Here is a 26,317-nt window from a genome sequence, read left to right on the forward strand (position 1 = left end):
GTCTGCCACGGAAGAAGTGCTCAGCAAATATTTGTCAATTATTGGATGGATTGTTATTATTATTAAGACCTCTTGCAGCTCTTTTATGAAGCTATAAACCTGCGCAAAAGGAACTTAGCAAAATGCCTTAAGGAAAGGGATGTTCTTTGTGTTGATACCGGACACCCTTGTCTTCTCTAAAGAGTACATTTACCCTCCTTTTACCTAGATATTATTACTCTCAGAAACCAGTACACAAGAAACCTACAATGCTTAGCTATTTCAGTCTTGTCTTCCTAAGTAGACTATAACTTCTTGGAAGGCAGGGAATATTTTTTCTTTCCTTTTTTACTTTTGTATATCCTCATGCTACTTAGTGTGTACTACTTTTTACATGTCAGCTGGGCACGGTGGCTCACACCTGTAATCCCAGCACTTTGGGAGGCCGAGGTGGGTGGATCACGAGGTCAGAAGTTCGAGACCAGCCTGGCCAATATGGTGAAACCTTGTCTCTACTAAAAATACAAAAATTAGCCGGGCATGGTGGCAGGCACCTGTAATCCCAGATACTTGGGAGGCTGAGGCAGGAGAATGGCTTGAACCTGGGAGGCAGAGGTTGCAGTGAGCTGAGATCATGCCATTGCACACTAGCCCGGGTGACAGAGTAAGACTCCGTCTCAAAAAAAAAAAAAAAAAAAAGAAGAAGAAGAAGAAGAAGAACTAACTACATGACAGGAACTGTTTCAAAAGCTTTGCCTACATGATCTAACTTCATCCTCACAATATCTCTGAGGCCTCAGTATTCTCATTATTCCTATAGGACAGAGGAAGAAACAGAGGAATATAGAGGTTAAGGAAGAGCTGTAAATAGTAGAGCTGACATTCGAACATGGGTAATCTGACTCTAATGCCTTGTACTCCTTTAAAAAGTGGTAATAATTAAGAAAATAAGGCCGGGAGTGGTGACTCACGCCTGTAATCCCAACACTTTGGGAGGCCGAGGTGGGCGGATCACCTGAGGTCAGGAGTTCGATATCAGCCTGGCTAACATGGTAAAACCCTGTCTCTACTAAAAATACAAAAATTAGCCAGGCATGGTGGTGGGCACCTGTAATCCCAGCTACTCAGGAGGCTGAGACAGGAGAATCACTTGAACCCAGGAGGCAGAGGTTGCAGCGAGCCAAGATCGCACCACTGCACTCCAGCCTGGGCAGTAGAGTGAGAATCTATCTCAAAAAAAAAAAAAAAAAAAAAAAAAGAAAAGAAAAGAAAAAGAAAAGAAAATTAAAAACAGAGATTAGTTTTTCTTCTACTTTGGTCTTCTTTGACTCAAAAAATATTATCTCTTCTTTCCTAACCCTTTACAGCCATATTATGGGAAGTAGGTTTCCCATTTTTCTGAAGAGGAGTTTGAGATACCTGCATCTCTCTCACAAAATCATATACTACTGGGAATCTCTCTCTCTCTCTCTTTGAGACAAGGCCTGGGTGAGTCTGTCACCCACGCTGGAGTGCAATGGCACTATCTCCTCACTGCAACCTCGGCCTCCTGGGCTCAAGTGATCCTCCCACCTCAGCCTCTCAAGTAGCTGGCATGCGCCACCACATCCGGTTAATTTTTGTATTTTTTTTAGAGATGGGGTTTCGTCATGTTGCCCAGGCTGGTCTCAAACTCCTGTCCTCAAGCAATCCTCCCACCTTGACCCCCCAAAATGCTGGGATTACAGGCGTGAGCCACCACGCCCGGTCGAAAGTGCCATTTCTTTAGCATTCAAAAAAAGTATCTTAGGCCGGGTGCGGTGACTCACACCTATAATCCCAGCACTTTGGGAGGCCCAGGCGGGCGGATCACTTGAGGTCAGGAGTTCAAGACCAGCCTGGCCAACATGGTAAACCCCGTCTCTATAAAAATACAAAAATTGGACGGGCGTGGTAGCATGTGCCTGTAATCCCAGCTACTCGGGAGGCTGAGGCACGAGAATTGCTTGAACCCAGGAGGCAGACGTTGCAGTGAGCAGATATCGTGCCACTGCACTCCAGCCTGGGTAACACAGCAAGACTCCGTCCCCCAAAAAAAGTGTCTTCATTCATCTGAAATGTGTCAGTGTTACCACAGCGGGAACCGGCATTGAGGAAAATCAGGTTTTCTGGGAAAGACTTGGAGGTGGGAACTCAAGAAGTTATTCTCAAAACTGTGAGCTGGGAATCAAGACAGCGTGACTCAATTCAGCACCGTGGACAGAGCTGCTGGAGCCCTCAGGACCCTGGACAGAGAAGCAGGCCGCGCATTCCCGGGGAACCGAATTCGCATCACTTGAGAACCCACCTAGAGAAGCCAGAGCGTTCAACTCCCCTTTCCCTCCCTTTTCTTCAGCCAGACCTCAGCCACTTGCTCCTGAGTCTTAGGAACAGAGGTACACGGAGCGAATATATTTTAAGGGCGCCACTAACAGCGGGAGATAAGACTTTTGGGAGAGGAGAATTATGTAAATAAAAATGGCTTTGGCTGATGTACTAGGAGAACTCTTGATAATTCTAAATTAGAGTCCTCAGATGGGAGTGGGGCACTGCTAATAATATTTGTTAACGATATGTATTTTTTAGGCGGAGCAGCAAAGGGCCACTCTTGTCCTTTTTACCCCACGAAGTCCCACCTCCCATTCCTTACGCTCAAGTTTTCATTTCTTGGAGAGCACCCCGTACGAGAGAAAGGGAAATAACTTCTGCAGTCTCTTGCTTTCCTCCCCATCTTCCCCTTCCCTACCCCCACTCATCCGGTCTCTCTGAAATACACATGTGCCCACATCCGCACGTGCACACACACACACACACAAACACACACACAGAGCCACAGCGTGAGAATTCCAAAAGGTTCTGCACACTCGGTGGAGAAGATTGAATTCAGAGCAAGCGGATGCCCCCGAAAGCAGGCTCTGTCCCTTTAAATGGGTTGTAGTGGTGGGGGAGGGGAACTGGCCGGAGCTGGCATTGTCCAGTTTGAACTGAACACCGGAAGTGAAGGGGCAGGGCCAGGGCCGTGCACTGAGCCCCGGGCCATTGTCCATCTCCGACCAGGGCAGTAGCCACCCCCACTAGCCAGCCGTCTTTATCTCCTAGAAGGGGAGGTTACCTCTTCAAATGAGGAGGCCCCCCAGTCCTGTTCCTCCACCAGCCCCACTACGGAATGGGAGCGCATTTTAGGGTGGTTACTCTGAAACAAGGAGGGCCTAGGAATCTAAGAGTGTGAAGAGTAGAGAGGAAGTACCTCTACCCACCAGCCCACCCAGTCCCTCTCTCAGCAGTGGATGGGGATGGGGTGGGGGTAGGACGAGAAGGCAGCTGGTGGAGAAACAGCTTCAAGACTCTTTGGGTTCCTCCTGCTCTCCAGGGAGCTTACCTGGGGCTAACTTTAGACACACAGGTTTGGAGGGAGGAAAGAAGGAAGAATTCTTTACAACGAATCAATTAAGAGCACTTTCTCTTTTCTAACTGGGGGAGGCCCAGAAAAACTCTGAGTCAGAAACTCTGGGAGGCAGACATTCAGATGTAGTCAGAGGCAGACAGACTTTGGAAGGCAGCGCTTTGGTCAGGACAGATCAGCCCTGTGTGTCCCCAGCCTCTCCCCTGCTCCCCCATCCCGGGCTTCCCAGTGTCCAGAACTCCAGGTCTATCTAAGCACACGGGGGTGGGGGGTGAGAGCGGGTCAGCTCCAAGCAGCCGGGTCAGCTCAGAGGCCTGAGGGGGAAGAGAGGGGGAGGGGAGCTCAAGGGCTGGGGGAGGGGGAGGGCCCATTCATTTCTCCCTTGACAGGTGGTTTGTGTTTCTGATTGGCCAGCGCCGCCAGGCTCACACCTCCCTCCCCCAACTCTCTGGAATGTATAATTATCTGCCCGGGGGGTGGGGGTGGTGTGTGTGTGTGTGTGTGTGTGTGTGTGTGTGTGTGTGCAGTCACGTGGTTTTAAAACTACCCCCCCCACCAGGTCCCCCACCTGTATCTGCTTTGGGGACCCCTACTGAGTCCAAAGTGCAGGATCTCAAATTCCGGGGTACTCAAGTCTTCTAGGGCAGACAGACCCATCTCCAGTTGTGCGTGTGGGGAGGGGGTGTCAAACCTCAAGGTTCTGAGAAGGGACACCCCAGAGGTGTCAGAGACCGGAGTTGTGGGGGAGGGCCGGAGCTGGAGCCGGAGGGAAAGGGAGGGGAAAGGAGAGGGAGGGGAGGGGAGGGGGCTGCCCGCGGGGGGTTGGGTCATTGTCTTTTAGAATTTGGGAGCCTTTGAAAAGCCGTGGGCCCTCCCACCGCTATTGTGCGGGGGAAGATGTAGCAGCTTCTTCTCCGAACCAACCCTTTGCCTTCGGACTTCTCCGGGGCCAGCAGCCGCCCGACCAGGGGCCCGGGGCCACGGGCTCAGCCGACGACCATGGGCTCCGTGTCCAACCAGCAGTTTGCAGGTTCGAGCTCGGGACTTAGCGGGGACACTTTAGGATTCAGGGGCGGCCAGGAGCCACGTAGAAGGGAGGTGGGGAACTGAGTCCTAGGCTGCCCAAAGGACCCCAAGACGGTGCGGCCTTCTGCTTCATAGGGCCGTCTCTGGGGCCAGGAACCTTGGTGTCCCAGTGGCGTGCGCGCCAGACTACGTGGGTGGATGGAGAGGAGAGGCTTGTCCCGCCGTGAGTCTCTGGGAAACGCGTTGTGGGAAGAGGAGCAAAACTTTCGGGGCACTACTGTCCCGGTGTACGCTAGGGGAACGCGGGAGGCGACCGGGATAGGTTTCTTCTCTTCTGTTGCTTGGTAGCTGCCCCCTCCTGGCTGTCCACTTGTGGGGCTGGATACTCGGGTCTCCCTGCCTGGGGCCCGAGACGGCCCTCCGATTCCGTGCCCCCCAGCTAAGTGCCCGGCCCTCCCTCTCTCCAGGTGGCTGCGCCAAGGCGGCAGAAGAGGCGCCCGAGGAGGCGCCGGAGGACGCGGCCCGGGCGGCGGACGAGCCTCAGCTGCTGCACGGTGCGGGCATCTGTAAGTGGTTCAACGTGCGCATGGGGTTCGGCTTCCTGTCCATGACCGCCCGCGCCGGGGTCGCGCTCGACCCCCCAGTGGATGTCTTTGTGCACCAGGTGAGACTGATTCCGGTAACTTTGCCCAGGGAAGGGCGTCTAGGCGCCCATATCCACGGGTGGGCTCCGGGCTCGCAGTTGAATTGAGGGCCATCGGGAGCCCTCATTATGCATCCCTGTCTTTGCTTCGGCACCCCAATTCTGAGTCCCTGTTAACTATCTCGTGGGGGAGTAGTGGGAGGCAGCACCAATTATCAGCACCCCCGCCCCCTTCCGGGAACCCCTCCGGCTTACCACGTGTCTATTACCTCTTTCCCCTGGGAAGGGGCAGGGGGCAGGGAGGTGACCCCATGTGGCAGAAACTAAGGTTGTATTGTGCTTGCCGGTGGGGGGAGGGCGAGCAGGCCGGCCAGGGAAGCACATGCCGGGCCTAAGCCGGGAGCCCAGCTCCTCCAACGTCTGAATGGAGCTCAGAAGGCGGGAGAGAGTGAGGGCAACTGGCTACTGGACCCAAGGGGCGTAAAGCCGAGAAGTCAGCCTCATCCCCTTTTTAATGCAGACCTCACCTGGCTGGTCACTAAAAACTGGGTTTGGCAGATCCCTGAAGGATCCCTGTGGGGGCTTGAAAGCTCAGGACTGGGGTCTTTGCTGTCCAGTTCCCGTGAGGAAGGAAAACCCAAAGAGCCCAGGCCTTCCTTACATTCCTGGGCCAGGCTGGGAGGGAAGTCGGTAGGTCGCAACCCCAAGTTCTCAGTTAAAGCAGGGCAGCACAGTAGGGGGTGAAATTCAGTGTCGCAGGGCAGGGGGTGAAGGGAGGCTGGCCTCTGGTCCTATTCTCCGCTTGGCATTTATGGCCCCAGACAGCCATTGATTGCTGTCTTAACATTCCTGGCCTCAAACAAGGAGCCAGAGACTTCAGGTCTCCCTCCTCCCAGGCTTCCCCTTCCTGAATATCCTAGAGGCATTCCGGTGGTCCTGGGCCACCAGCTACCCATAAAGACCATGGAAAGGAAGTTGCTTGCTGCCTATGGCCCTTCCATCTTTGGAGGTTTGGGACTGGATCTGGAAAGAAGAAATTGCTAATCCCAGATCGTGTAGGTTGACACCCAGGCCGGGCAGGGAGGGGTTACTTAAGGGAGGTTGGCTTTAGGAGGTGTGGGGGAGGGGAAAGGAGGATGTGGGGATTAAGGGTTGGAGCCTGAAGGGATGGCATTCTTTGGGGGAGGGGTAGAGAAGGGAGATGCTGGATGGACTAGTTGGAGGCAGCAGGGACGTCTTTGAGCACAGCCTTCAGTGAGGAACAAACAAGGGAAATAGACGCAGGGAGATGGGGAGCCACCACTTACTGTTGGGGCCATGGGGTCAGTGGGCTACTTGAACATCTGCCAAGAGGACCTGCAGCAGGATACTGAGCTGCCCCTTTGCAGCACCCTTATTCCCCCAACCCCCCATTAGACAGCTAGTTTCCCACTAGTGGCTTTTCTCCCTTCTCTGTCTCATTTACATATGTGAATGATAACCCACAGGAAGTAATTGTGGGAGAAAGAAGGGAATTGGCCTTTTTAGATCTATTAAATCACTTTATTACAGGAACCAGCTTTGAATGGCCCTCCTCAGCAGGGTAGCAAGCCTCCCCCACTCTCCCATTTATCTGATCACAAAGAGATTAAAATCTTTCCTGGTCTGGGGACTGGACAGCTCCCCCAACTTTGGGAGGCTGGAATAAAAGAGTCAGACCCAACGTTTTCTCATCTCCCATCCAAAGGCTGCCAGATAGGGAGGGGCTGAGGGGAATGTATCCCCTCATCTTCTGGGTTCCTTGGTGATATACATACCCCAAGGAAGGTGTTTTCTTGTTTTGTTTGTTTGTTTGTTTGAGCAAATGGGGACTTGGGCCTCAGCAGGCTTCACCTTAGGATCTAGAGCAATTGGGAAACTATTGGATGGCATAGAGCAGGCATTGAGTCTACACCATGCTGGGTCAGATGTGCTGGCTTGGAAATACTCTGGATTTTAGGCTCTTGGAACATCCAGGAACCCATAGTTGAGTAAGTTGTCAATAGGGAGCTGAGCTGGAAGAGAATTAAGAATTTGTCTCTCTAATCCCCAGCTCTTCCCATTCTACTCACAAAGCACAATGATGGGTGGAAATTCCCTGAGCCTTTACCTGGTAGCTCTGATAATGGTAGCATGCCAGAAAGGCTTGGGTCAGGGGTCCTCCAACCCCACCTTAACCGTAAGTTAGATTAGTGATTCCAGTCTTTGCACTTGTTTTTTTGTTTGTTTGTTTGTTTGTTTGTTGCTTTTTTTTTTTTTTTTTTTGAGATGGTGTTTGGCTCTTGTTGGCCAGGCTGGAGTGCAATGGCATGATCTCCACTCACCGCAACCTCCGCCTCCCAGGTTCAAGCGATTCTCCTGCCTCAGCTTCCTGAGTAGCTGGGATTACAGGCATGTGCCACCACGCTCGGCTAATTTTTTGTATTTTTAGTAAAGACGGGGTTTCTGCACGTTGGTCAGGCTGGTCTTGAACTCCTGACCTCAGATGATCCGCCCGCCTTGGCCTCCCAAAGTGCTGGGATTACAGGCATGAGCCACCACTCTTCTGCATTTGTGAAATTAGAAATGACTCTCTGGAAATCTTATGGTAAAGGAATTTAGTAAACACAGGATAAATTGTTTACTGGGGGAGGAGGAAAGTGTTCCCGAAGCAGAGGGTAAGAAATCTTTAACAAAACTTCCCATTCTTTGGCTGCTGGGGTTGGGCACCCTGGGGTTGGGGTGGGCTGGTGAGAAGGTAATTGTCCTAAGATAGCATCTACCAGAGGGAGGGGGTCAGGGAGCCCCTTTGCAAATAAAGAGGAAGGGGGAAAGGCAATTTAAAAACATTTTCTTTTCCTTTCCAAAGTTGGGGTTATTAGGATCCCAATGCCCTGTTAACTAATGTTCTTATGCTCTCTCCCAAATGCTGTAATATCCTCTTCAAGAGTAGATGAGTGGGGGGAAAAGCCCACCCCCAGCCAAAAACTAAGCAAAACGACAACAAAACAAAAAGCAAAGAGATTTCTATAACAACTCTTTTCCTTAGGTACACATCTTTAGATCTAGAAATCTGCCTGTCTCTAGAGTTAGGGAAATAGATAGCAAGCCCTTAAATTAGAGTTTCTCGACTTCAGCACTATTGACATGTTTTGAGCAGGATAATTTGTTCTGGGGAGTCTGTCCTATGTATTATAGGATGTACAGCAGTATTCCTGGTCTCTACCCACTAGAAGCCAGTTGCATCTTAGGTATGACAACCAAAAACATCTCCATACATTGTCAAATGTCCCCTTGGAGTCAAAAATCTCATCCCTGCTTGAGAAACACAGTTATATAGGAAAGCTGGAACAAGAAAGCTAAACTGTCAACTATTTTCCTGAGATTCATCAAGAATTCAAAAATCCTCATTTTGGGCCATTTTAAGAGTTTTGGCTTAACTCATGTTTCCTGTGGCTCAATTTGCAAACTCTCAAGATTTATAGAAATTTGGAAATAAGAAAAGTTCCCTGCTTTCCCATAGCTCCTCAGGACCCAGATATGTTTCAATCTCAAATATGTTTAAATTGGCTTTCTGGCTAAAATGCTATATTAGAAGACTTGGAGTCAAAAGCCCAGATTTGACCAAGGGACCAAGTTGGGTTAGGAGAAAAGGTTTTCAATACCTAGACAACTGCTGAAATTGCCCTGTAGCCAGGTGGCCTTCTTTTTCTAAAAGCCATGAGTGAGGAGGTGGTAAGAGCAACTTTATTCAGGGTCTAGGTTAGGACTGCTGGGTTTGGTGTTAGGGTTGCGGGGGCGGGTGGGGAAATATACGGAATCTTTCCTCCTGGTTTGTAACACTGCACCTCTGATTACTCACCTCATGTCTAGTTATTGAGGTACTGGTCTTATACCCTTCTCTATGTAACCCATAAGCTCTTTGAAGGGAGGAACTTAGCTGCCTGGTTAATTTTCTAGTATGCATTTGGTGGGCTGAGGAATGAATAAGAAAAGGGGCATCTTGAGGACCTTGGTGAATCAGAAGTACACTTAGCAGTCTGGGGTCCATGTTGGCAGAGATCTTTGTTCAGAGAAAAAGACTAGAGATACTGAGGGGTGTCAATTGTAGCTGCTCGCTTTCTGGGCTGGGCACAACATAGAATATGGCCTGGGCACAACATAGCACTATGAAAGTTTGTGGAGTGAATATGGGTAGATCACCACTCGGAGCCCAGAGAGGTTCCTCTCGTTTTTGTTGACAGAGTGGAAGCCACGGATTTAGTGGTCATCCATGAGTTATTTCTGTCTTAATAAGAAAAGGCAGCTTAAAAATAAATTGACTCGATTTTTCAGAAAGTTGGTAGAGAGGTAGGAAGGTTCATGAAGACATTGTGGAATCTTCTGGGGTCCTCTTCTTTCTGAGACATGCTTCTAGACAATGTCTTTTTTTTATTTTTATTTTTATTTTTTGAGATAGAGTCTTGCTCTGTCGCCCAGGCTGGAGTGCAGTGGCACGAACTCGGCTCACTGCAACTTCTGACTTTTGGGTTCAAGCAATTCTCCTGCCTCAGCCTCCCAAGTAGCTGGGATTACAGATGTACACCACCACACCCAGCTAATTTTAGTATTTTTAGTAGAGAAGGGTTTTCGTCATGTTGTCCAGGCTGGTCTCAAACTCCTGACCTCAAGTGATCCACCTGCCTGGGACTCCCAAAGTGCTGGGATTACAGGCATGAGCCATGATGCCCGGCGACAGTGTAAAGTAAAGGCTGTGACACCATCCTGAACAAAGCTTCAAATATGGGATGTTTCTACCCTCTGGTTGTTGACACTGCTGCCTGCCTTACAAGTGGTTTTCAGTAACATTCACCAGGGCCATTTAGTTTTTTGAACATTGCTAATCACACTCTACTGGAATTCTTGTTTTTTGGAGTAACTGCCCTAGGTAAAACTATGCCTCCTGTCTTCCTGCAGGCATGAATAGCAACCACTGGCCACATAGTCAGAGTGGGAGGTCAAAGGAGTTGGGGGAGAATACACAGTTGATACAGACTTATTTAACATGATCTCACCATCGAGGTTTTTTATTTTTTTTGAGACGGAATCTCTCTCTGTTGCCCAGGCTGGAGTGCAGTGGCGCCGTCTTAGCTCACTGCAACCTCCACCTCCCAGGTTTGAGCGATTTTCCTGCCTCAGCCACCCGAGTAGCTGGGATTAGAGGCACCTGCCACCATGCCCGGCTAATGTTTTGTATTTTTAGTAGAGATGGGGTTTCACCATGTTAGCCAGGCTGGTCTCGAACTCCTGACCTCGTGGTGATCCGCCTGCCTCGGCCTCCCAAAGTGCTGGATTTACAGGCATGAGCCACCATGACTGGCCCAGCGTGGTGTTATTTAATTTAGACAGGACTTGGCTTTTCTAAGCAGTAGAATATAAGAACTGAGTTTCTGGCCTAAAAGTCTAGGAACCTTTCATTCTTATCCCTGATCAAGCCGGTGGTTGGGTGGGGGCAGGGTGGGACGGGGAGGACAAGATGACTGCCCTAAGGAGCTGTGGAGATAAATCTACCCGAACACTTGAGTTCACAGCTCAGACCAGGTAGCGGGCCACTCAGTACCTCCTGGTATAGGCGCCCTCGGGCTTACCTTTGGGCAGACAGGCTGAGCAGCGCCATCTGGTGGAGAACTCCAGGCAGGAGCTACAGGGCCTGGCTGTGGCTGAGCAGAGGGGATCAGAGGGATTGGCTGCCTGCAGCCTTCTGTTCCAGACACCCCTTTCACCAACCTCCTTGACACACACCCTCCTTGACACACACACCATCGAATAACTGCTTCTGGGAGAACCGGTTGGTTCTCCCTTACCAAATCTTACCTCCAGGAATGAAGCTAAGTTAGGGATGTGACACCACAGGACTGAATCATTAAAATTACTTTCATCAGCTGCTTTTTTAAACGTAGCTACTAGAAAGTTTTCAATTATATATGTGACTTGCATCATAATGAATTGCACTGGGGAGAGTTAGGCCAGCTGCACTCAGCTCAGCTCTTGCCTCTTATTGCGACTTTAACCAAGGTGCTTATTAACCCCTCTGCCTCCATGTCCTCAAGCTGTAAAATGAGGGTCTTCATATCACCCCACTGCACCAGTTTGATATGAGGGTTAAATGAGTTACAACACGTAAAGTGGTTAGAATGCCACTTAGCCTACAGTAAGAATCAATTAGTAACAGTTATTTTGCATAGTACTTAGACATTCAACAAATGCTTGTGCAAGCTAAGAACCTAGAATTGAGGTAGAGACCTGCACTACAGAATCTTCCGGCTGGAATGGCCCTGGAAGAAGATCTGGAATAGCCTCTTGCGGAAGAGCCAAGAACCCCAGCTTTAATCTGCACAACTGTAGCAAGTACCCTGAAATTCTGTTGCCACTTCTGGAGAAAGGACACTTAGGTTCCTTTGTGTTGTTTTTTTTTTTTCTCTTCATACTTTTTTCTTTTATAATGTTTTCTTTTGTTTTTAACTCCACATTTCCTAAGTGACCCCTAAGGCTCATTCTATCTCTAAGCTTGCAAAGGCATAAATTGAAGCTGGGATGAGGTACTTGGTGTGGGTTGGATAGGGTAAGGCAGGCAATTACTGAGGTATTAAGAAGGGATCAGAAGGCCTAAGTACTTTAACTGGAGAGATTCCTTCCCTGTTATCAAAAAAAGAAAAAGAAATGCTTGGGGTGGGCGCGGTGGCTCACGCCTGTAATCCCAGCACTTTGGGAGGCCGAGGCGGGTAGATCATGAGGTCAGGAGATCGAGACCATCCTGGCTAACGCGGTGAAACCCCGTCTCTACTAAAAATACAAAAAATTAGCCAGGAATGGTGGCAGGAGCCTGTAGTCCCAGCTACTCGGCAGGCTGAGGCAGGAGAATGGCGTGAACCCGGGAGGCGGAGCTTGCAGTGAGCCGAGATTGTGCCACTGCACTCCGGCCTGGGCAACAGAGCCAGACTTTTTAAAAAAAAAAAAAAGAAAAAGAAATGCTGTCTGTTGTCTGATGCCACATTCCCCAACACAGTAGGCCCATGTAGGCTCCCCACAGTCCTAACTTGAAGAAATTGGGAAAGGATGATATGGGTCATGCCTTCTCTCCCCCTCCCCTTTAAAATAATTTATCTGAATCAATAATTCAGGATTGGACTGAAGAGACCCAAGGGGAGGGGGTCCTGTTTGGTTCTATCCATGAAGTGGGCAGTGCGCAAGCCAGAGAAGGGAGATGGCTGCTGATGGTGACTTTGGCAAGACTGCCTGGGGAAGGAAGAATTTTCTATATCTAGTTCTCTCCCGTGACCATAACCCCAACATAGAGAGGAAGGAAGAAACAGTTGAATGTGGGGAGGAGGGAGAGGGAGATGCAAGAGGGATCTGCTCCTTGGAACTCCAGGAATCTGACCACCAGAACCAGCCAGTGTCAACTCTTTGTTTCCTGGGGCTGGGCTCTACTGGGGGAGCTCAGGCCATGCCCCTCCCCCTAAGGTCTTTTCTTTTTGGAGGGGATGGGGAAGGGGGCGGGGCCCTGCTTTGTGTGTGGTTGGGGGTGGAATGGGGGTGGTACAAGAATTTCAGGCGCTTTTCAGATGCAGGCCCTGGGAGGCTGGCTCTGTGGGGCTGCACGCTGATTACCTATCTGATAAGAGAGGAATTCAAACTATGTGTTTTAGAAAGGGGCGGGGGAGGAGGGCAGGGAGCCACCCCTGGAGACCACCAGTTTAAATCTCTTGATTACACTGAGGTACCTGCAGGGGTGGGGGTTTACTCTGTAAAAGTCTTAGACCTCAGATCCTCCAGTGATGCAGTGAGTGACCTGAGAGGACTAGTCAATTTCTTGTTGCATGTCCCCATTTATATGATCCTCTTAAAATAAACCTATGAGGTGTCCATAGAGGAAGGTGTTACTCTCCAGTCAACTGGGGCTTAGAGAGGGGATATTCTTCTAAGTTTCTATAGCTAGTTAGGATAAAACCAGATGCTTGGCACTTAGTTCTCTCTGTTAACCCACGCCACCCAGTGTGAAGAGGTTGATAATTGCCACTCCCTGAGGATTTATGTGTAGCAGGCGAAGTGCTAACTACTTTTCATGTGTAAAACCTCACAGCACTACCATAAAATTAGTATTTACTCCATTTTATAGATGATTAAAGAAAGGAGGGAACAGGCCATCAGACTCAATCAACCCTTGTTCTTAACTATTTACCTGCTGAATCACAGCTAGAACTAGGAGTGTCCCAGCCTAAGACAAGCTGGGCAAGCAAATGAAGCTGGAATTGCTTGGGTCCAGAAGGCTCTTGGTCTGGCTCCTCTAGGACCTCCCAACTCACCCACTAATTGCATCTCTTGTCCCACCCCGCTCAATAAAAAATAAGTCAAATCTAATATAATCTTTATTTTTTGAGATGGGTTCTTGCTCTCTCACCCAGGCAGGAGTGCAGTGGCGCGATCTCAGCTCACTGCAAGCTCTGCCTCCCAGATTCAAGCGATCCTTCTACCTCAGCCTCCCAAGTAGCTGGTACCACAGGCACATGCCACCATGCTGAGCTAATTTTTGTATTATTTTGTAGAGAACAGGGTTTCGCCCTGTTGCCCAGGCTGGTCTCCAACTCCTGAGCCTCAAGCTCAGAATCCACCTGCCTCAGTCACCCAAATTGCTGGGATTACAGTTGTGAGCCACCATGCCCGACCTTACAAATCTAACTTTAAACTCAGGGTGGTTACTGTGAAACAGCGAGAGAGGTATTGCACCCGGCCTGCAATATCATCTTAAAACAAAAATTTGGCCGGGCATGGTGTGTAATCCCAGCACTTTAGGAGGCATGAGGTCAGGAGTTTGAGACCAGCCTGGCCAATAAGGTGAAACCCTGTCTCTACTAGAAATACAAAAATTAGCTGGGTGTGGTGGCGTGCGCCTGTAGTCCTAGCTTAAACCCAGAAGAATCGCTTAAACCCAGGAGGCGGAGGTTGCAGTGAGCTGAGATCGTGTCACTGCACTTCAGCATGGGCGACAGAGCAAGACTTTCTCAAAAAAAAAAAAAAAAAATTAAGTGATAAGGAATCTGTGGTTCCTTCATCTTGATGAAGAGCATGTTTCATTTAAGTTCCAGTTTGGAATATTACCCCCCAGCCACCAGCATAAAATACGAATGCTACTTACTCATGTTCCCTTGAGCCAGGACTAGGTAAGTGCACAGTGATCCCTTTTGCTTCTCCATTTTCTATGACGACTACTCCTTGTTGACATATTTGACACTGTTGTTTTACTATAATAGATGAAGCTGTAATGAAGTCTATTCTGGGTAGGGTCTGAGATGCTGTCACCTCCGCTAATGTCAAGTTGGTGGTGCAGTAAGTGGCATGATAGAATGAGCTCTGAGCTTTAAATCAGGAACTCTGGGTTCATCTGACCCTGGCTTTGCTACAGAACTAGCTGTATCAACAACTACTTTTTTTTTTTTTCTTGATGGCTGCTGGCTGTTTGCTAACTGCTTTATAAATATCAGTGTCCTTAAATTTTGGTACAAACGTGCAGTGTTCTAATAGGATTATTCCATACATATTGTTCTAAATCTTGCTTTTTGTTTTTTCTTTTAACAATATTATTTGGTGATCTTTCTCAGCTGAATGATTAAAAATCTGCCTCCTGTTTCATTAATTCATTCAAAAATGTGCTAGGCATTATTTCAGGTACCAAAATGTGGCTGTGAACAAACCAAAGACTTTACGTTGTTCTTAATGGCTGCGTGGTATTCATTATTATAGATGTACCATATTTATTCAACCATTCCCCTTCAAATACACCAGTAGGTTATTTCCAATTTTTTTAAAGCAACAATGAGATACTGAGTATATGTGTCGTGCTAAGACTTCCTACTGATAATCTACTTATATTATGTTGTGTAATTCTTTTTTCTTAGTGATTTATGGTATATTTTTGTAGTTTTACCAGTCTGATTATCTGTCTTAACTTTTCAGTATTTTTCTTAACAATGAGGTGTTTAAATCCTCTGAAATGTATTTTGCATATGTATCATACAAAGTCTGTAGGAATATGACTTCCTTTCCCAATGGATTATTAATTTTTATAGCAGCATTTATTGAATTATTTTTCTTACCTATTGATTTCTCCATATATTCTCAGATCTCTGTGATTTTCCATTTTAATCCTCTGATCCATCTGCTTGGGTTATACTGTCTTTCGGTAACATTATTTTGATATAATTTCAAACTTTAAAAAGGCTGCAAGAACAATACCCAACACTCCCACATAACCTCTACCCAGATTCATTGACTCTTAACATTTTGCCCCATTTGCTTTATCATTCTCTATCTTGCTACAGATAGTTTTTTTTTTGAAACCATAAGTTGGAGACAGTAAGCACTTTTATCTCTAAATATTTCAGTGCGTATTTCCCAAGAATGGGAATATTTATCTTTTTTTTTTTTTTCTGAGACAGGGTCTCACTCTGTCACCCAGCCTGGAGCACAGTTGTGTGATCTCTGCTCACTGCAACCTCTGCCTCCTGGGCTCAAGGGATCCTCCCACCTCAGCCTCCCCAGTAGTTGGGACTACAGGTGTGTACCACTGTGCCTGGCTCATTTTTGTATTATTTTGTAGAGATGGGTTTTTGCCATATTGCCCAAGCTGGTCTCGAATTCCTGGGCTCAAGCAATCCGCCCATCTTGGCCTCCCAAAGTGCTGGGGATTATAGGCATCAGCCACTGTGCCTGGCTGGGAATATCAATCTTACATCGTTTCAGTACACTAATCATAATCAGGAAATTAAACACTGGTACATTTATCTATATACCATATGCAAATTTTGTCAATTGTCCTATTTTTTTTTTTTTTTTCCTGTTTCAAGATCCAATCTGGAATCTTGGATTTCATTGAACTGTTCAGTTCTTCAGGCTTTGTCTTTTTATGACCTTGACATTTTTGAAGTCCTGTTTTATAGGAATGTCCCTCAGTTTGGGTTTGTCTGATGTTCCCTCAAGGTTAGATTCAGGATGTGCATTTTTAAAGTCATAAGTCCTTAGTGCATCATATTAGAAGATATGTGTGTCCCATTGTAGGCAAAGCTAAACTCAAAGAACTTGACTAGGGTATTATCTGCCAGTTTTCTCCACTGTAAACTTGCTGTTTTTCCCTTTGTAGTTGCTACACTGCTGATTATATCCAATTTAAATTGTAATATCTGGTATTCTTGGCAATTTATATTTTCCCATAGCCTTTAGAATCACTCAATCTTCCAATCCAAGATCGTGGTATGTTTTTGCATTTTTTCCTTTAATATATTTGAGTTTTTTCTTCATATAGGCTTTTTACCTTGTTAAATGTATTCTGAGGGTTTTGGTGTTTTTGTTTGTTTCTGAGAGAGGGTCTTACTCTGTCGCCCAGGCTGGAATGCAGTGGCATAATCTTGGCTCACTACAACCTCCGCCTCATGGGCTCAAGTGATGCTCCCACCTCTGCTGGGATTACAGGGGTGAGCCAGACAGAGTCTCGCTCCATCACCCAGGCTGGAGTACAGTGGTGCCATCTCTGCAACCTCTGCCTCCCGGGTTCAAACAATTGCCTCAGCCTCTCGAGTAGCTGAGATTACAGGTCTGCGCACCATACCCAGCTAATTTTTGTGTTTTTTGTAGAAATGGCATTTCGTCACGTAGGCCAGGCTGGTGTTGAACTCCTGGATTCATGTGATCTGCCCACCTCAGCCTCCCCAAAGTGCTGGGATTACAGACAGGCATGAGCCACTGTGCCTGGCCTATTCTGTTTGTTTGGTTTTTTAACATGTTTTGCAGCCATTATTATGATTTCCTTTTTTTTCTTTTTCTTTTTTTTTTTTTTTTTTTTTTTGTTGTTGTTGTTGCCCAGGCTAGAGTAGAATGGCGCAATCTTGGCTCACCGCAACCTCCGCCTCCCGGGTTCAAGTGATTCTCCTACCTCAGCCTCCCAAGTAGCTGGGATTATAGATGCCCACCACCACGCCTGGCTAATTTTGTATTTTTAGTAGTAGAGACAGGGTTTCTCCATGTTGGTCAGGCTGGTCTCAAACTCCTGACCTCAGGTGATATGCCCGCCTCGGCTTCCCAAAGTGCTGGGATTACAGGCATGAGCCATTGCGCACGGCCCATTAGTATTATTTCTTAAATCATTGAGCATCTTGAGTTTGTTTTTTTGTTTGTTGGTTTGTTTGTTTTGCGACGGAGTCTTGCTCTGTCACCCAGGCTGGAGTACAGTGGCGCGATCTCAGCTCACTGCAAGCTCTGCCTCCCAGGTTCATGCCATTCTCCTGCCTCAGCCTCCGGAGTAGCTGGGACTACAGGCACCCGCCACCACGCCTGGCTAATTTTTTGTATTTTTAGTAGAGACGGGGTTTCACCGTGTTAGCCAGGATGGTCTCGATCTCCTGACCTCGTGATCCCCTGCCTTTGCCTCCCAAAGTGCTGGGATTACAGGCGTGAGGCAGCGCACCCGGCCTTTTTTTTTTTCTTTTTTAAATAAGGCATATCATATTGCTTTGATTATAAAAATACCACTTGATTTTGTATTTTTTCCAGTATTCTACTTATTTGGTCTTTTGATGATGGTATAAATACTAAGTGAGGCATTATGTGAAAAATGAATATTTCAGTGCTTCATAGCGTGACATTTTATTTTTATTTTATTTATTTATTTCTTTGAGATGGAGTCTTGCTCTGTCAACCAGGCTAGAGTACAGTGGCATGATGGCTCACTGAAACCTCTGCCTCCGGGGTTCAAGCAACTCTCCTGCCCCAACTGCCCAAGTAGCTGGGATTACAGGCGCCCACCACCACACCCGGCTAATTTTTGTATTTTTAGTAGAGACAGGGTTTCACCATGTTGGCCAGGCTGGTCTCGAACTCTGGACCTCGTGATCCACCTGCTTCAGCCTCCCAAAGTGCTGGGGTTAAAGGCGTAAGCCACCGTGTGTGGCTGAGCCACCATGCCCAGCTATTTTTACTTTTATTTTATTTATTTATTTTTGAGACGAAGTCTTGCTGTGTTGCCCAGGCTGGAGTGCAAAGGCGCCATCTTGGCTCACTGCAACCTCTATAGTGTGACACTTTAAATTTCGTAATTTTATATTTGTTGATTTCTTCCAAATGCTTGTATTTACAAATTTTTCTGTTTGTTGTTGTTTGTTTGTTTGTTTTTGAGACAAAGTCTCACTCTGTCGCCCAGGCTGGAGTGCAATAGTGTGATCTCAGCTCACTGCAACCTTTGCTTCCTGGGTTCAAGCAATTCTCCTGCCTCAGTCTCCCAAGTAGCTGGGATTACAGGTGCCCGCCACCACGCCCAGCTAATTTTTTTTATTTTTAGTAGAGACAGAGTTTCACCATGTTGGCCAAGCTGGTCTCGAACTCCTGACTTCAGGTGATCCTCCCGCCTCAGCCTCTCAAAGTGCTAGGATTATAGGTGTGAGCCACCGTACCCGGCCCTCTGTTCTATTTTATTAAGAACTTTAAACCTGAATAGCTACAAAAATGTCATGGCATCTGCTTATATAATTACGATTTTTGTTAATGTACTGGTAGACTTTGTTGTTCTTAATCGTAGTGACTCTTTGAGTCAGTTTCCTTACCAGTAAAATAGGAGTACCATCACATTTGATTCCTACCCTACAGGAATAAGAGTTCCTTGTCTTTTGGTATAATAATGGAAATTAATGTTAAAATTTACTGCATTTCCCTTCACCAGAGTAAGCTGCACATGGAAGGGTTCCGGAGCTTGAAGGAGGGTGAGGCAGTGGAGTTCACCTTTAAGAAGTCAGCCAAGGGTCTGGAATCCATCCGTGTCACCGGACCTGGTGGAGTATTCTGTATTGGGAGTGAGAGGCGGCCAAAAGGAAAGAGCATGCAGAAGCGCAGATCAAAAGGAGACAGGTATGGATTGGAAGGCAGCTTATATAGGTTGCTAAGGGCATCCCCAGTCTCCCAATCCTGTCACTTTTTGGGTCACACTGCAAAAGACAAAGGGAAGCCTGTGGTCCCTGGCAGCATCTGGAAGGCTGAGCGCCTGCAATAGGTGTGGGCAAGGGCAGTAGGTGAGGAGGCCACTGGGGGTGACTTAGTGCTACTTGGGACAAGTAAGTTTGCTCTGTGGTCTCTAAGCCTCAATTGTTAAGTGAGGCAGTGATACTAACATCCTAGGATGGTTTTAGAATTAAAGGAGATCATAGATTTGCAAATGGTGGGACAAGACAGTATTATCTATATCTGTTGCTGCTTTACCAGGTCTGCAAATGGCTGGTTTCCTTAATCTTGCTTGGGCTTAAAGCCCCTTAGCTCTGAACAGATACTATAATTTGGCTTCTTTAATTTCTCCTATATTAAGGGTATGGAAGAATCTCTCCTATCCCCCAAGTTGCAGTTCCTAGTTGGGGTCAGTAACTTATATTTCTGGTATCTTGGTATTTTCAAGTTGACATGAATCTGAAGAGATCACCTAGACAATTAGATGTGGAAAGGACTTAGAGATCATTTAGTAATAGTCCTCCTTTTGCAAGTGGGAAGTTTGGTCTCTGGGAAGGGAAGTAAGTGACAAACCTGTACCAGAGCCCAGGTGTCCTCATTCGTGGGAGGCATCTGGCCTCTTCTTGCTCCTTTCTCTTACTTTTACGATCTTGCTTTGTACTAGGTGCTACAACTGTGGAGGTCTAGATCATCATGCCAAGGAATGCAAGCTGCCACCCCAGCCCAAGAAGTGCCACTTCTGCCAGAGCATCAGCCATATGGTAGCCTCATGTCCGCTGAAGGCCCAGCAGGGCCCTAGTGCACAGGGAAAGCCAACCTACTTTCGAGAGGAAGAAGAAGAAATCCACAGCCCTACCCTGCTCCCGGAGGCACAGAATTGAGCCACAATGGGTGGGGGCTATTCTTTTGCTATCAGGAAGTTTTGAGGAGCAGGCAGAGTGGAGAAAGTGGGAATAGGGTGCATTGGGGCTAGTTGGCACTGCCATGTATCTCAGGCTTGGGTTCACACCATCACCCTTTCTTCCCTCTAGGTGGGGGGAAAGGGTGAGTCAAAGGAACTCCAACCATGCTCTGTCCAAATGCAAGTGAGGGTTCTGGGGGCAACCAGGAGGGGGGAATCACCCTACAACCTGCATACTTTGAGTCTCCATCCCCAGAATTTCCAGCTTTTGAAAGTGGCCTGGATAGGGAAGTTGTTTTCCTTTTAAAGAAGGATATATAATAATTCCCATGCCAGAGTGAAATGATTAAGTATAAGACCAGATTCATGGAGCCAAGCCACTACATTCTGTGGAAGGAGATCTCTCAGGAGTAAGCATTGTTTTTTTTTCACATCTTGTATCCTCATACCCACTTTTGGGATAGGGTGCTGGCAGCTGTCCCAAGCAATGGGTAATGATGATGGCAAAAAGGGTGTTTGGGGGAACAGCTGCAGACCTGCTGCTCTATGCTCACCCCCGCCCCATTCTGGGCCAATGTGATTTTATTTATTTGCTCCCTTGGATACTGCACCTTGGGTCCCACTTTCTCCAGGATGCCAACTGCACTAGCTGTGTGCGAATGACGTATCTTGTGCATTTTAACTTTTTTTCCTTAATATAAATATTCTGGTTTTGTATTTTTGTATATTTTAATCTAAGGCCCTCATTTCCTGCACTGTGTTCTCAGGTACATGAGCAATCTCAGGGATAGCCAGCAGCAGCTCCAGGTCTGCGCAGCAGGAATTACTTTTTGTTGTTTTTGCCACCGTGGAGAGCAACTATTTGGAGTGCACAGCCTATTGAACTACCTCATTTTTGCCAATAAGAGCTGGCTTTTCTGCCATAGTGTCCTCTTGAAACCCCCTCTGCCTTGAAAATGTTTTATGGGAGACTAGGTTTTAACTGGGTGGCCCCATGACTTGATTGCCTTCTACTGGAAGATTGGGAATTAGTCTAAACAGGAAATGGTGGTACACAGAGGCTAGGAGAGGCTGGGCCCGGTGAAAAGGCCAGAGAGCAAGCCAAGATTAGGTGAGGGTTGTCTAATCCTATGGCACAGGACGTGCTTTACATCTCCAGATCTGTTCTTCACCAGATTAGGTTAGGCCTACCATGTGCCACAGGGTGTGTGTGTGTTTGTAAAACTAGAGTTGCTAAGGATAAGTTTAAAGACCAATACCCCTGTACTTAATCCTGTGCTGTCGAGGGATGGATATATGAAGTAAGGTGAGATCCTTAACCTTTCAAAATTTTCGGGTTCCAGGGAGACACACAAGCGAGGGTTTTGTGGTGCCTGGAGCCTGTGTCCTGCCCTGCTACAGTAGTGATTAATAGTGTCATGGTAGCTAAAGGAGAAAAAGGGGGTTTCGTTTACACGCTGTGAGATCACCGCAAACCTACCTTACTGTGTTGAAACGGGACAAATGCAATAGAACGCATTGGGTGGTGTGTGTCTGATCCTGGGTTCTTGTCTCCCCTAAATGCTGCCCCCCAAGTTACTGTATTTGTCTGGGCTTTGTAGGACTTCACTACGTTGATTGCTAGGTGGCCTAGTTTGTGTAAATATAATGTATTGGTCTTTCTCCGTGTTCTTTGGGGGTTTTGTTTACAAACTTCTTTTTGTATTGAGAGAAAAATAGCCAAAGCATCTTTGACAGAAGGTTCTGCACCAGGCAAAAAGATCTGAAACATTAGTTTGGGGGGCCCTCTTCTTAAAGTGGGGATCTTGAACCATCCTTTCTTTTGTATTCCCCTTCCCCTATTACCTATTAGACCAGATCTTCTGTCCTAAAAACTTGTCTTCTACCCTGCCCTCTTTTCTGTTCACCCCCAAAAGAAAACTTACACACCCACACACATACACATTTCATGCTTGGAGTGTCTCCACAACTCTTAAATGATGTATGCAAAAATACTGAAGCTAGGAAAACCCTCCATCCCTTGTTCCCAACCTCCTAAGTCAAGACCATTACCATTTCTTTCTTTCTTTTTTTTTTTTTTTTAAAATGGAGTCTCACTGTGTCACCCAGGCTGGAGTGCAGTGGCATGATCGGCTCACTGCAGCCTCTGCCTCTTGGGTTCAAGTGATTCTCCTGCCTCAGCCTCCTGAGTAGCTGGGATTTCAGGCACCCGCCACACTCAGCTAATTTTTGTATTTTTAGTAGAGACGGGGTTTCACCATGTTGTCCAGGCTGGTCTGGAACTCCTGACCTCAGGTGATCTGCCCACCTTGGCTTCCCAAAGTGCTGGGATTACAGGCATGAGCCACCATGCTGGGCCAACCATTTCTTGGTGTATTCATGCCAAACACTTAAGACACTGCTGTAGCCCAGGCGCGGTGGCTCACACCTGTAATCCCAGCACTTTGGAAGGCTGAGGCGGGCGGATCACAAGGTCACGAGTTCAAAACTATCCTGGCCAACACAGTGAAACCCCGTCTCTACTAAAATACAAAAAAATTAGCCGGGTGTGGTGGTGCATGCCTTTAGTCCTAGCTATTCAGGAGGCTGAGGCAGGGGAATCGCTTGAACCCGAGAGGCAGAGGTTGCAGTGAGCTGAGATCGCACCACTGCACTCCAGCCTGGTTACAGAGCAAGACTCTGTCTCAAACAAAACAAAACAAAACAAAAACACACTACTGTATTTTGGATGGATCAAACCTCCTTAATTTTAATTTCTAATCCTAAAGTAAAGAGATGCAATTGGGGGCCTTCCATGTAGAAAGTGGGGTCAGGAGGCCAAGAAAGGGAATATGAATGTATATCCAAGTCACTCAGGAACTTTTATGCAGGTGCTAGAAACTTTATGTCAAAGTGGCCACAAGATTGTTTAATAGGAGACGAACGAATGTAACTCCATGTTTACTGCTAAAAACCAAAGCTTTGTGTAAAATCTTGAATTTATGGGGCGGGAGGGTAGGAAAGCCTGTACCTGTCTGTTTTTTTCCTGATCCTTTTCCCTCATTCCTGAACTGCAGGAGACTGAGCCCCTTTGGGCTTTGGTGACCCCATCACTGGGGTGTGTTTATTTGATGGTTGATTTTGCTGTACTGGGTACTTCCTTTCCCATTTTCTAATCATTTTTTAACACAAGCTGACTCTTCCCTTCCCTTCTCCTTTCCCTGGGAAAATACAATGAATAAATAAAGACTTATTGGTACGCAAACTGTCATCCCCTTGTCAGATGTTTTTGCCCTTCCGATAACTCCCACTTTCTTGGATTGGGACTCAGAAGTTTTTCTGTTCAGCCAGTTTGTTAGGAATGAATCTTGAAAGTTCAGTCCTCTTAGCACCTCATTACAGTGGATTTTTGTTTCTAGTTAAGGCCTCTTGTCCTTTCCTTGGAAGCTTCCACATTCAAGAGGGGATTAGGGGCTTGGCATGCATAAGAATGGGGTTGCCTGTGCCACTGGCTGGGATGAAAGGATGGGGCCATGGCTTGGGGCATGAGACCCTAATAATACTTTGTCCCCTACTCCTCAAAGCCTTTTACAAATCTTAATTAATTAACCGCTTGCAGCACCCCAAGGAGAGAAATGTGTTGTGGAACTGGGGAAATTGAGGCCAGAGGAGATTCACTGACTAGCTATAAATGCAACATTTTCTTTGAGCCAAAGTTTGCTAGCTTTTTAATGAACATCGAGTTTTTTTATATACATCACAAGTCATCAAGCAAGAACACTGAATTTTAAACATCTATTCCCACTAAGGGAAGGAGGATTTTAAAAAGGAAAAAAAAAAAACTTGATTGGAGGCAAACCAAGTATATTAACACCGTGCAAGGAAACAGGGAAACTGGTTTAAATCCTCAAGCCTGACATTATAAGAGTAAGGGTAAGAAGTTTCATAATCTACTCCAGGGACTTTGTGGCTCCTTAATTGTACCAAAAGTCAAAGCTGACAGTAGAACCTCATGAAGCAGCAAACTACTAGTGGACTTCATTAAATTGTCTTGCTGCAAAATGAAGTAACTTGGACTGAAATTTACTCCCCAGGCTGCAAAGCAGGAAGGATGGAAAAGCTCAACACTATTCATTTCTACTCATCTCTAGGGCTTTCTTTCATCATGTTGCTGTGTTAAAATAACCCCTTTCATTAGAAAGAGTGGAAGACATAATCAATTAGAAAGTGCCAATAAAACATCTCTTCCTTGCCTCATTTCTTTAATAATATTGTAAAATGAAATGCGACAAAAAGGTTCTTTGACAATTGTGAATTTTTATTCCACTCAAAACATAATACTACATAAAGTTGTATTATGCTTTGCAAGAAATACTGGTTGTGGCCGGGCGCGGTGGCTCACGCCTGTAATTCCAGCACTTTGGAAGGTCTAGGCAGGCAGATAACGAGGTCAAGAGATCAAAACCATCCTGGCCAAAATGGTGAAACCCTGTCTCTACTAAAAATACAAAAATTAGCCAGGCTTGGTGGCACGCGCCTGTAGTCCCAGCTACTCAGGAGGATGAAGCAGGAGAAACGCTTGAACCCGGGAGGCGGAGGCTGCAGTGAGCCGAGATCGCGCCACTGCACTCCAGCCTGGGCGACATAGCCAGACTCCGTCTCTAAATAAATAAATAAATAAATAAATAAATAAAAATAATACTGGTTGTATAAGAATCTGTAAAGAATTTTTTCCTCCTCTTTCAATTTTGAGAAAATTGAACTACAAATTTGTTTTGTGAGCCTAGAATTCTTGCAACCCTTTTTTTCGTAAAGGTTCAGTAGAGCTAATGCCCTTAACTTTTCTACCAGGGTTAATTTCTGTTATTTTCATTTATGTACTGCCAAAGCGAGCACCTTTCTGTTATTTTAGAAGTCATGCTTTTTTTTTTTTTCTTTTTTCAGACAGAGTTTCGCTCCTGTTGCCCAGGCTGGAGTGCAGTGGCCTGATCTTGGCTCACCGCAACCTCCGCCTCCCGGGTTCAAGCGATTCTCTTGCCTCACCCTCCCGAGTAACTGGGATAACAGGCGCCCGCCACCACGCCCGGCTCATTTTCTGTATTTTTAGTACAGACGGGGTTTCACGATGTTGGTCAGGCTGGTCTCAAACTCCTGACCTCAGGTGATCCGTTCGCCTCGGCCTCCCAAAGTGCTGGGATTACAGGCGTGAGCCACCGCGCCTGGCCTAGAAGTCATTCTTATGGCAGAAATCTTTCTGGCCTTACCCCTTCTCTTGAGTTCGTTGGGATAGGTCTTGGGAATCCACAAATCCTAAAATATGCGTGCCTTAAGTCGGCACAAAATAGATTAATATTCTGCGCGTCTGTAAGATTGGCTGCGGCTAGAAACTCCTTCCCAGACGATTAAATCCACTAAATAAAATACGAAACGGTAACGAGATAATTTTTAAGAGTATGCACCAGTGCTCTAATGAAGCCCGGTTCTGCGGCATTCCAAGGTAAGGACGCTGCCTTACCCAGTCTCTCAGCAGTCCTAAGCTGCCTTCGACGGCCGAGAAGCGCCTCGATTCTTGCCCCTGGCTCATTTCCCTGGCGCGTTTTCCAGACGCCTCCGCTCCCAACGCTGGGCTCAACCCTGTCTTCCCCAGCTGGTCTCCCAGCACGTGGCCTGGAGCCCAGCCTCCCGCCCCGCTCGGTCACGTGAGCCTGGCTCTCACCCGCGCCGGCTTCCACACCCCGCGGGACTGAGAACCGCCCTCCCACTAGCTCGCAGGCGCAGGCGCAGGGCAGGGTCCCCTCAGTTTGGGTGACGGAAGGGGCGTGTCGCAGCGCCCAAAGATGACGTGTTCTGCCAGCGCCACGTCATGAGGAAGTGCCGGCCCACTGAAGCCGTGGGGACGCGCCCAGCGGAGCTAATCAGGTGCCACTGAACTGAAGGGGTGAACTAGAGGAGAAGAGGGTGACTGGGCGGGGAGCAGCTGCGGGAGAAGCAAAGGGACGACTGAGGGAATAATCAGGAGACCACTGAGGCGTGAAGTACTAGGCGTGCGATAACTGAAGGAGTTAGTAACTGGGAGCACAGAGTTGGAAACAGCTTAGGGGAAGATGGAGAAGGAAGAAACGGGGAATGATCAAGATGTGGGCACCATGATGTGGCAGGAAACCGACTTAGATGTTCAGAAGAAGTCAGTGCAGATACGGAGGAAATGGGAATGGGAAGAAGTCTGCAAAGCCAGGAGAACCGAGGAAAGGCTTTTGCCTCCAGAGGTCACATTGCGTTATAAAACTCTGGGTGGTAAAAGATTATAGGCTTAGACCAGTGTCTTTGGATTCTAATGCTGGCTGCTCTCCAT

At 47.2% G+C, this 26,317-nt stretch overlaps 2 protein-coding genes and 1 long non-coding RNA gene across 23 annotated transcripts in view, besides 11 other annotated features; 2 read left to right on the forward strand and 1 right to left on the reverse strand.

Annotated features, from left to right (window-relative positions):
* Positions 2,474-3,033: an enhancer, noted in NCBI's record as "H3K27ac-H3K4me1 hESC enhancer chr1:26735457-26736016 (GRCh37/hg19 assembly coordinates)". NCBI's record gives its function as "activates a minimal SCP1, AML or CMV promoter by ChIP-STARR-seq in naive and primed H9 embryonic stem cells {active_cell/tissue: H9 hESC(naive and primed)}" and the evidence as "EXISTENCE:reporter gene assay evidence [ECO:0000049][PMID:30033119]".
* Positions 3,034-3,591: an enhancer, noted in NCBI's record as "NANOG-H3K27ac-H3K4me1 hESC enhancer chr1:26736017-26736574 (GRCh37/hg19 assembly coordinates)". NCBI's record gives its function as "activates a minimal SCP1, AML or CMV promoter by ChIP-STARR-seq in naive and primed H9 embryonic stem cells {active_cell/tissue: H9 hESC(naive and primed)}" and the evidence as "EXISTENCE:reporter gene assay evidence [ECO:0000049][PMID:30033119]".
* On the forward strand, positions 4,325-23,236 carry LIN28A (lin-28 RNA binding posttranscriptional regulator A). Of its 2 annotated transcripts, XM_011542148.3 has the most exons (5): positions 4,325-4,430; positions 4,894-5,090; positions 18,811-18,995; positions 19,750-19,976; positions 20,754-23,236. In XM_011542148.3, exons 1-4 carry the CDS (start codon positions 4,400-4,402, stop codon positions 19,964-19,966), a joined length of 630 nt encoding a protein of 209 aa, XP_011540450.1. In that variant the 5' UTR covers positions 4,325-4,399; the 3' UTR covers positions 19,967-19,976; positions 20,754-23,236. The 2 variants fall into 2 exon arrangements, with proteins under 2 accessions (XP_011540450.1, NP_078950.1); NM_024674.6 differs by having other exon boundaries at positions 19,750-23,236.
* Positions 12,048-12,619: an enhancer, noted in NCBI's record as "OCT4-NANOG-H3K27ac hESC enhancer chr1:26745031-26745602 (GRCh37/hg19 assembly coordinates)". NCBI's record gives its function as "activates a minimal SCP1, AML or CMV promoter by ChIP-STARR-seq in primed H9 embryonic stem cells {active_cell/tissue: H9 hESC(primed)}" and the evidence as "EXISTENCE:reporter gene assay evidence [ECO:0000049][PMID:30033119]".
* Positions 13,764-14,334: an enhancer, noted in NCBI's record as "NANOG-H3K27ac-H3K4me1 hESC enhancer chr1:26746747-26747317 (GRCh37/hg19 assembly coordinates)". NCBI's record gives its function as "activates a minimal SCP1, AML or CMV promoter by ChIP-STARR-seq in primed H9 embryonic stem cells {active_cell/tissue: H9 hESC(primed)}" and the evidence as "EXISTENCE:reporter gene assay evidence [ECO:0000049][PMID:30033119]".
* Positions 23,138-23,866: an enhancer, noted in NCBI's record as "OCT4-NANOG hESC enhancer chr1:26756121-26756849 (GRCh37/hg19 assembly coordinates)". NCBI's record gives its function as "activates a minimal SCP1, AML or CMV promoter by ChIP-STARR-seq in naive H9 embryonic stem cells {active_cell/tissue: H9 hESC(naive)}" and the evidence as "EXISTENCE:reporter gene assay evidence [ECO:0000049][PMID:30033119]".
* Positions 24,263-25,745, reverse strand: LOC124903883 (uncharacterized). The gene is made up of 2 exons (XR_007065557.1): positions 25,481-25,745; positions 24,263-24,626 (listed from the first exon to the last, which is right to left on the reverse strand). It is a non-coding gene; the product is annotated as an uncharacterized LOC124903883 (long non-coding RNA).
* Positions 25,048-25,584: an enhancer, noted in NCBI's record as "H3K27ac-H3K4me1 hESC enhancer chr1:26758031-26758567 (GRCh37/hg19 assembly coordinates)". NCBI's record gives its function as "activates a minimal SCP1, AML or CMV promoter by ChIP-STARR-seq in naive H9 embryonic stem cells {active_cell/tissue: H9 hESC(naive)}" and the evidence as "EXISTENCE:reporter gene assay evidence [ECO:0000049][PMID:30033119]".
* Positions 25,369-25,428: an enhancer, noted in NCBI's record as "active region_501". NCBI's record gives its function as "activates an Ori minimal core promoter by ATAC-STARR-seq in GM12878 lymphoblastoid cells {active_cell/tissue: GM12878}" and the evidence as "EXISTENCE:reporter gene assay evidence [ECO:0000049][PMID:35858748]".
* Positions 25,499-25,558: an enhancer, noted in NCBI's record as "active region_502". NCBI's record gives its function as "activates an Ori minimal core promoter by ATAC-STARR-seq in GM12878 lymphoblastoid cells {active_cell/tissue: GM12878}" and the evidence as "EXISTENCE:reporter gene assay evidence [ECO:0000049][PMID:35858748]".
* Positions 25,585-26,121: an enhancer, noted in NCBI's record as "H3K27ac hESC enhancer chr1:26758568-26759104 (GRCh37/hg19 assembly coordinates)". NCBI's record gives its function as "activates a minimal SCP1, AML or CMV promoter by ChIP-STARR-seq in naive H9 embryonic stem cells {active_cell/tissue: H9 hESC(naive)}" and the evidence as "EXISTENCE:reporter gene assay evidence [ECO:0000049][PMID:30033119]".
* Positions 25,585-26,148: a biological region, named in NCBI's record as "H3K27ac hESC enhancer GRCh37_chr1:26758568-26759104".
* Positions 25,659-26,148: an enhancer, noted in NCBI's record as "active region_503". NCBI's record gives its function as "activates an Ori minimal core promoter by ATAC-STARR-seq in GM12878 lymphoblastoid cells {active_cell/tissue: GM12878}" and the evidence as "EXISTENCE:reporter gene assay evidence [ECO:0000049][PMID:35858748]".
* Positions 25,829-26,317, forward strand: part of DHDDS (dehydrodolichyl diphosphate synthase subunit) — a 38,986-nt gene continuing 38,497 nt past the window's right edge. For 6 of the 20 annotated variants that reach the window (NM_001319959.2, NM_024887.4, NM_205861.3 and 3 more), the window contains exon 1: positions 25,829-25,884. The gene's annotated coding sequence lies outside the window, so the exon portion shown is untranslated. Of the gene's footprint in view, positions 26,027-26,317 lie in introns of all 20 variants that reach the window. The other 14 variants (XM_047430849.1, XM_047430853.1, XM_047430859.1 and 11 more) reach the window with 4 other exon arrangements.

The sequence above is a fragment of the Homo sapiens genome, chromosome 1, assembly GCF_000001405.40.
Source record: "Homo sapiens chromosome 1, GRCh38.p14 Primary Assembly".
Taxonomy (NCBI): Eukaryota; Metazoa; Chordata; class Mammalia; order Primates; family Hominidae; genus Homo; species Homo sapiens.

Bases quoted from the DNA above. Each gene is read 5' to 3' on its own strand.
- LIN28A (NM_024674.6), top strand. From the start codon at position 4,400: ATGGGCTCCGTGTCCAACCAGCAGTTTGCAG. The intron at 4,431-4,893 runs GTTCGAGCTCGG...CCCTCTCTCCAG, and splicing joins GTCCAACCAGCAGTTTGCAG to GTGGCTGCGCCAAGGCGGCA. The intron at 5,091-18,810 runs GTGAGACTGATT...TCCCTTCACCAG, and splicing joins TGGATGTCTTTGTGCACCAG to AGTAAGCTGCACATGGAAGG.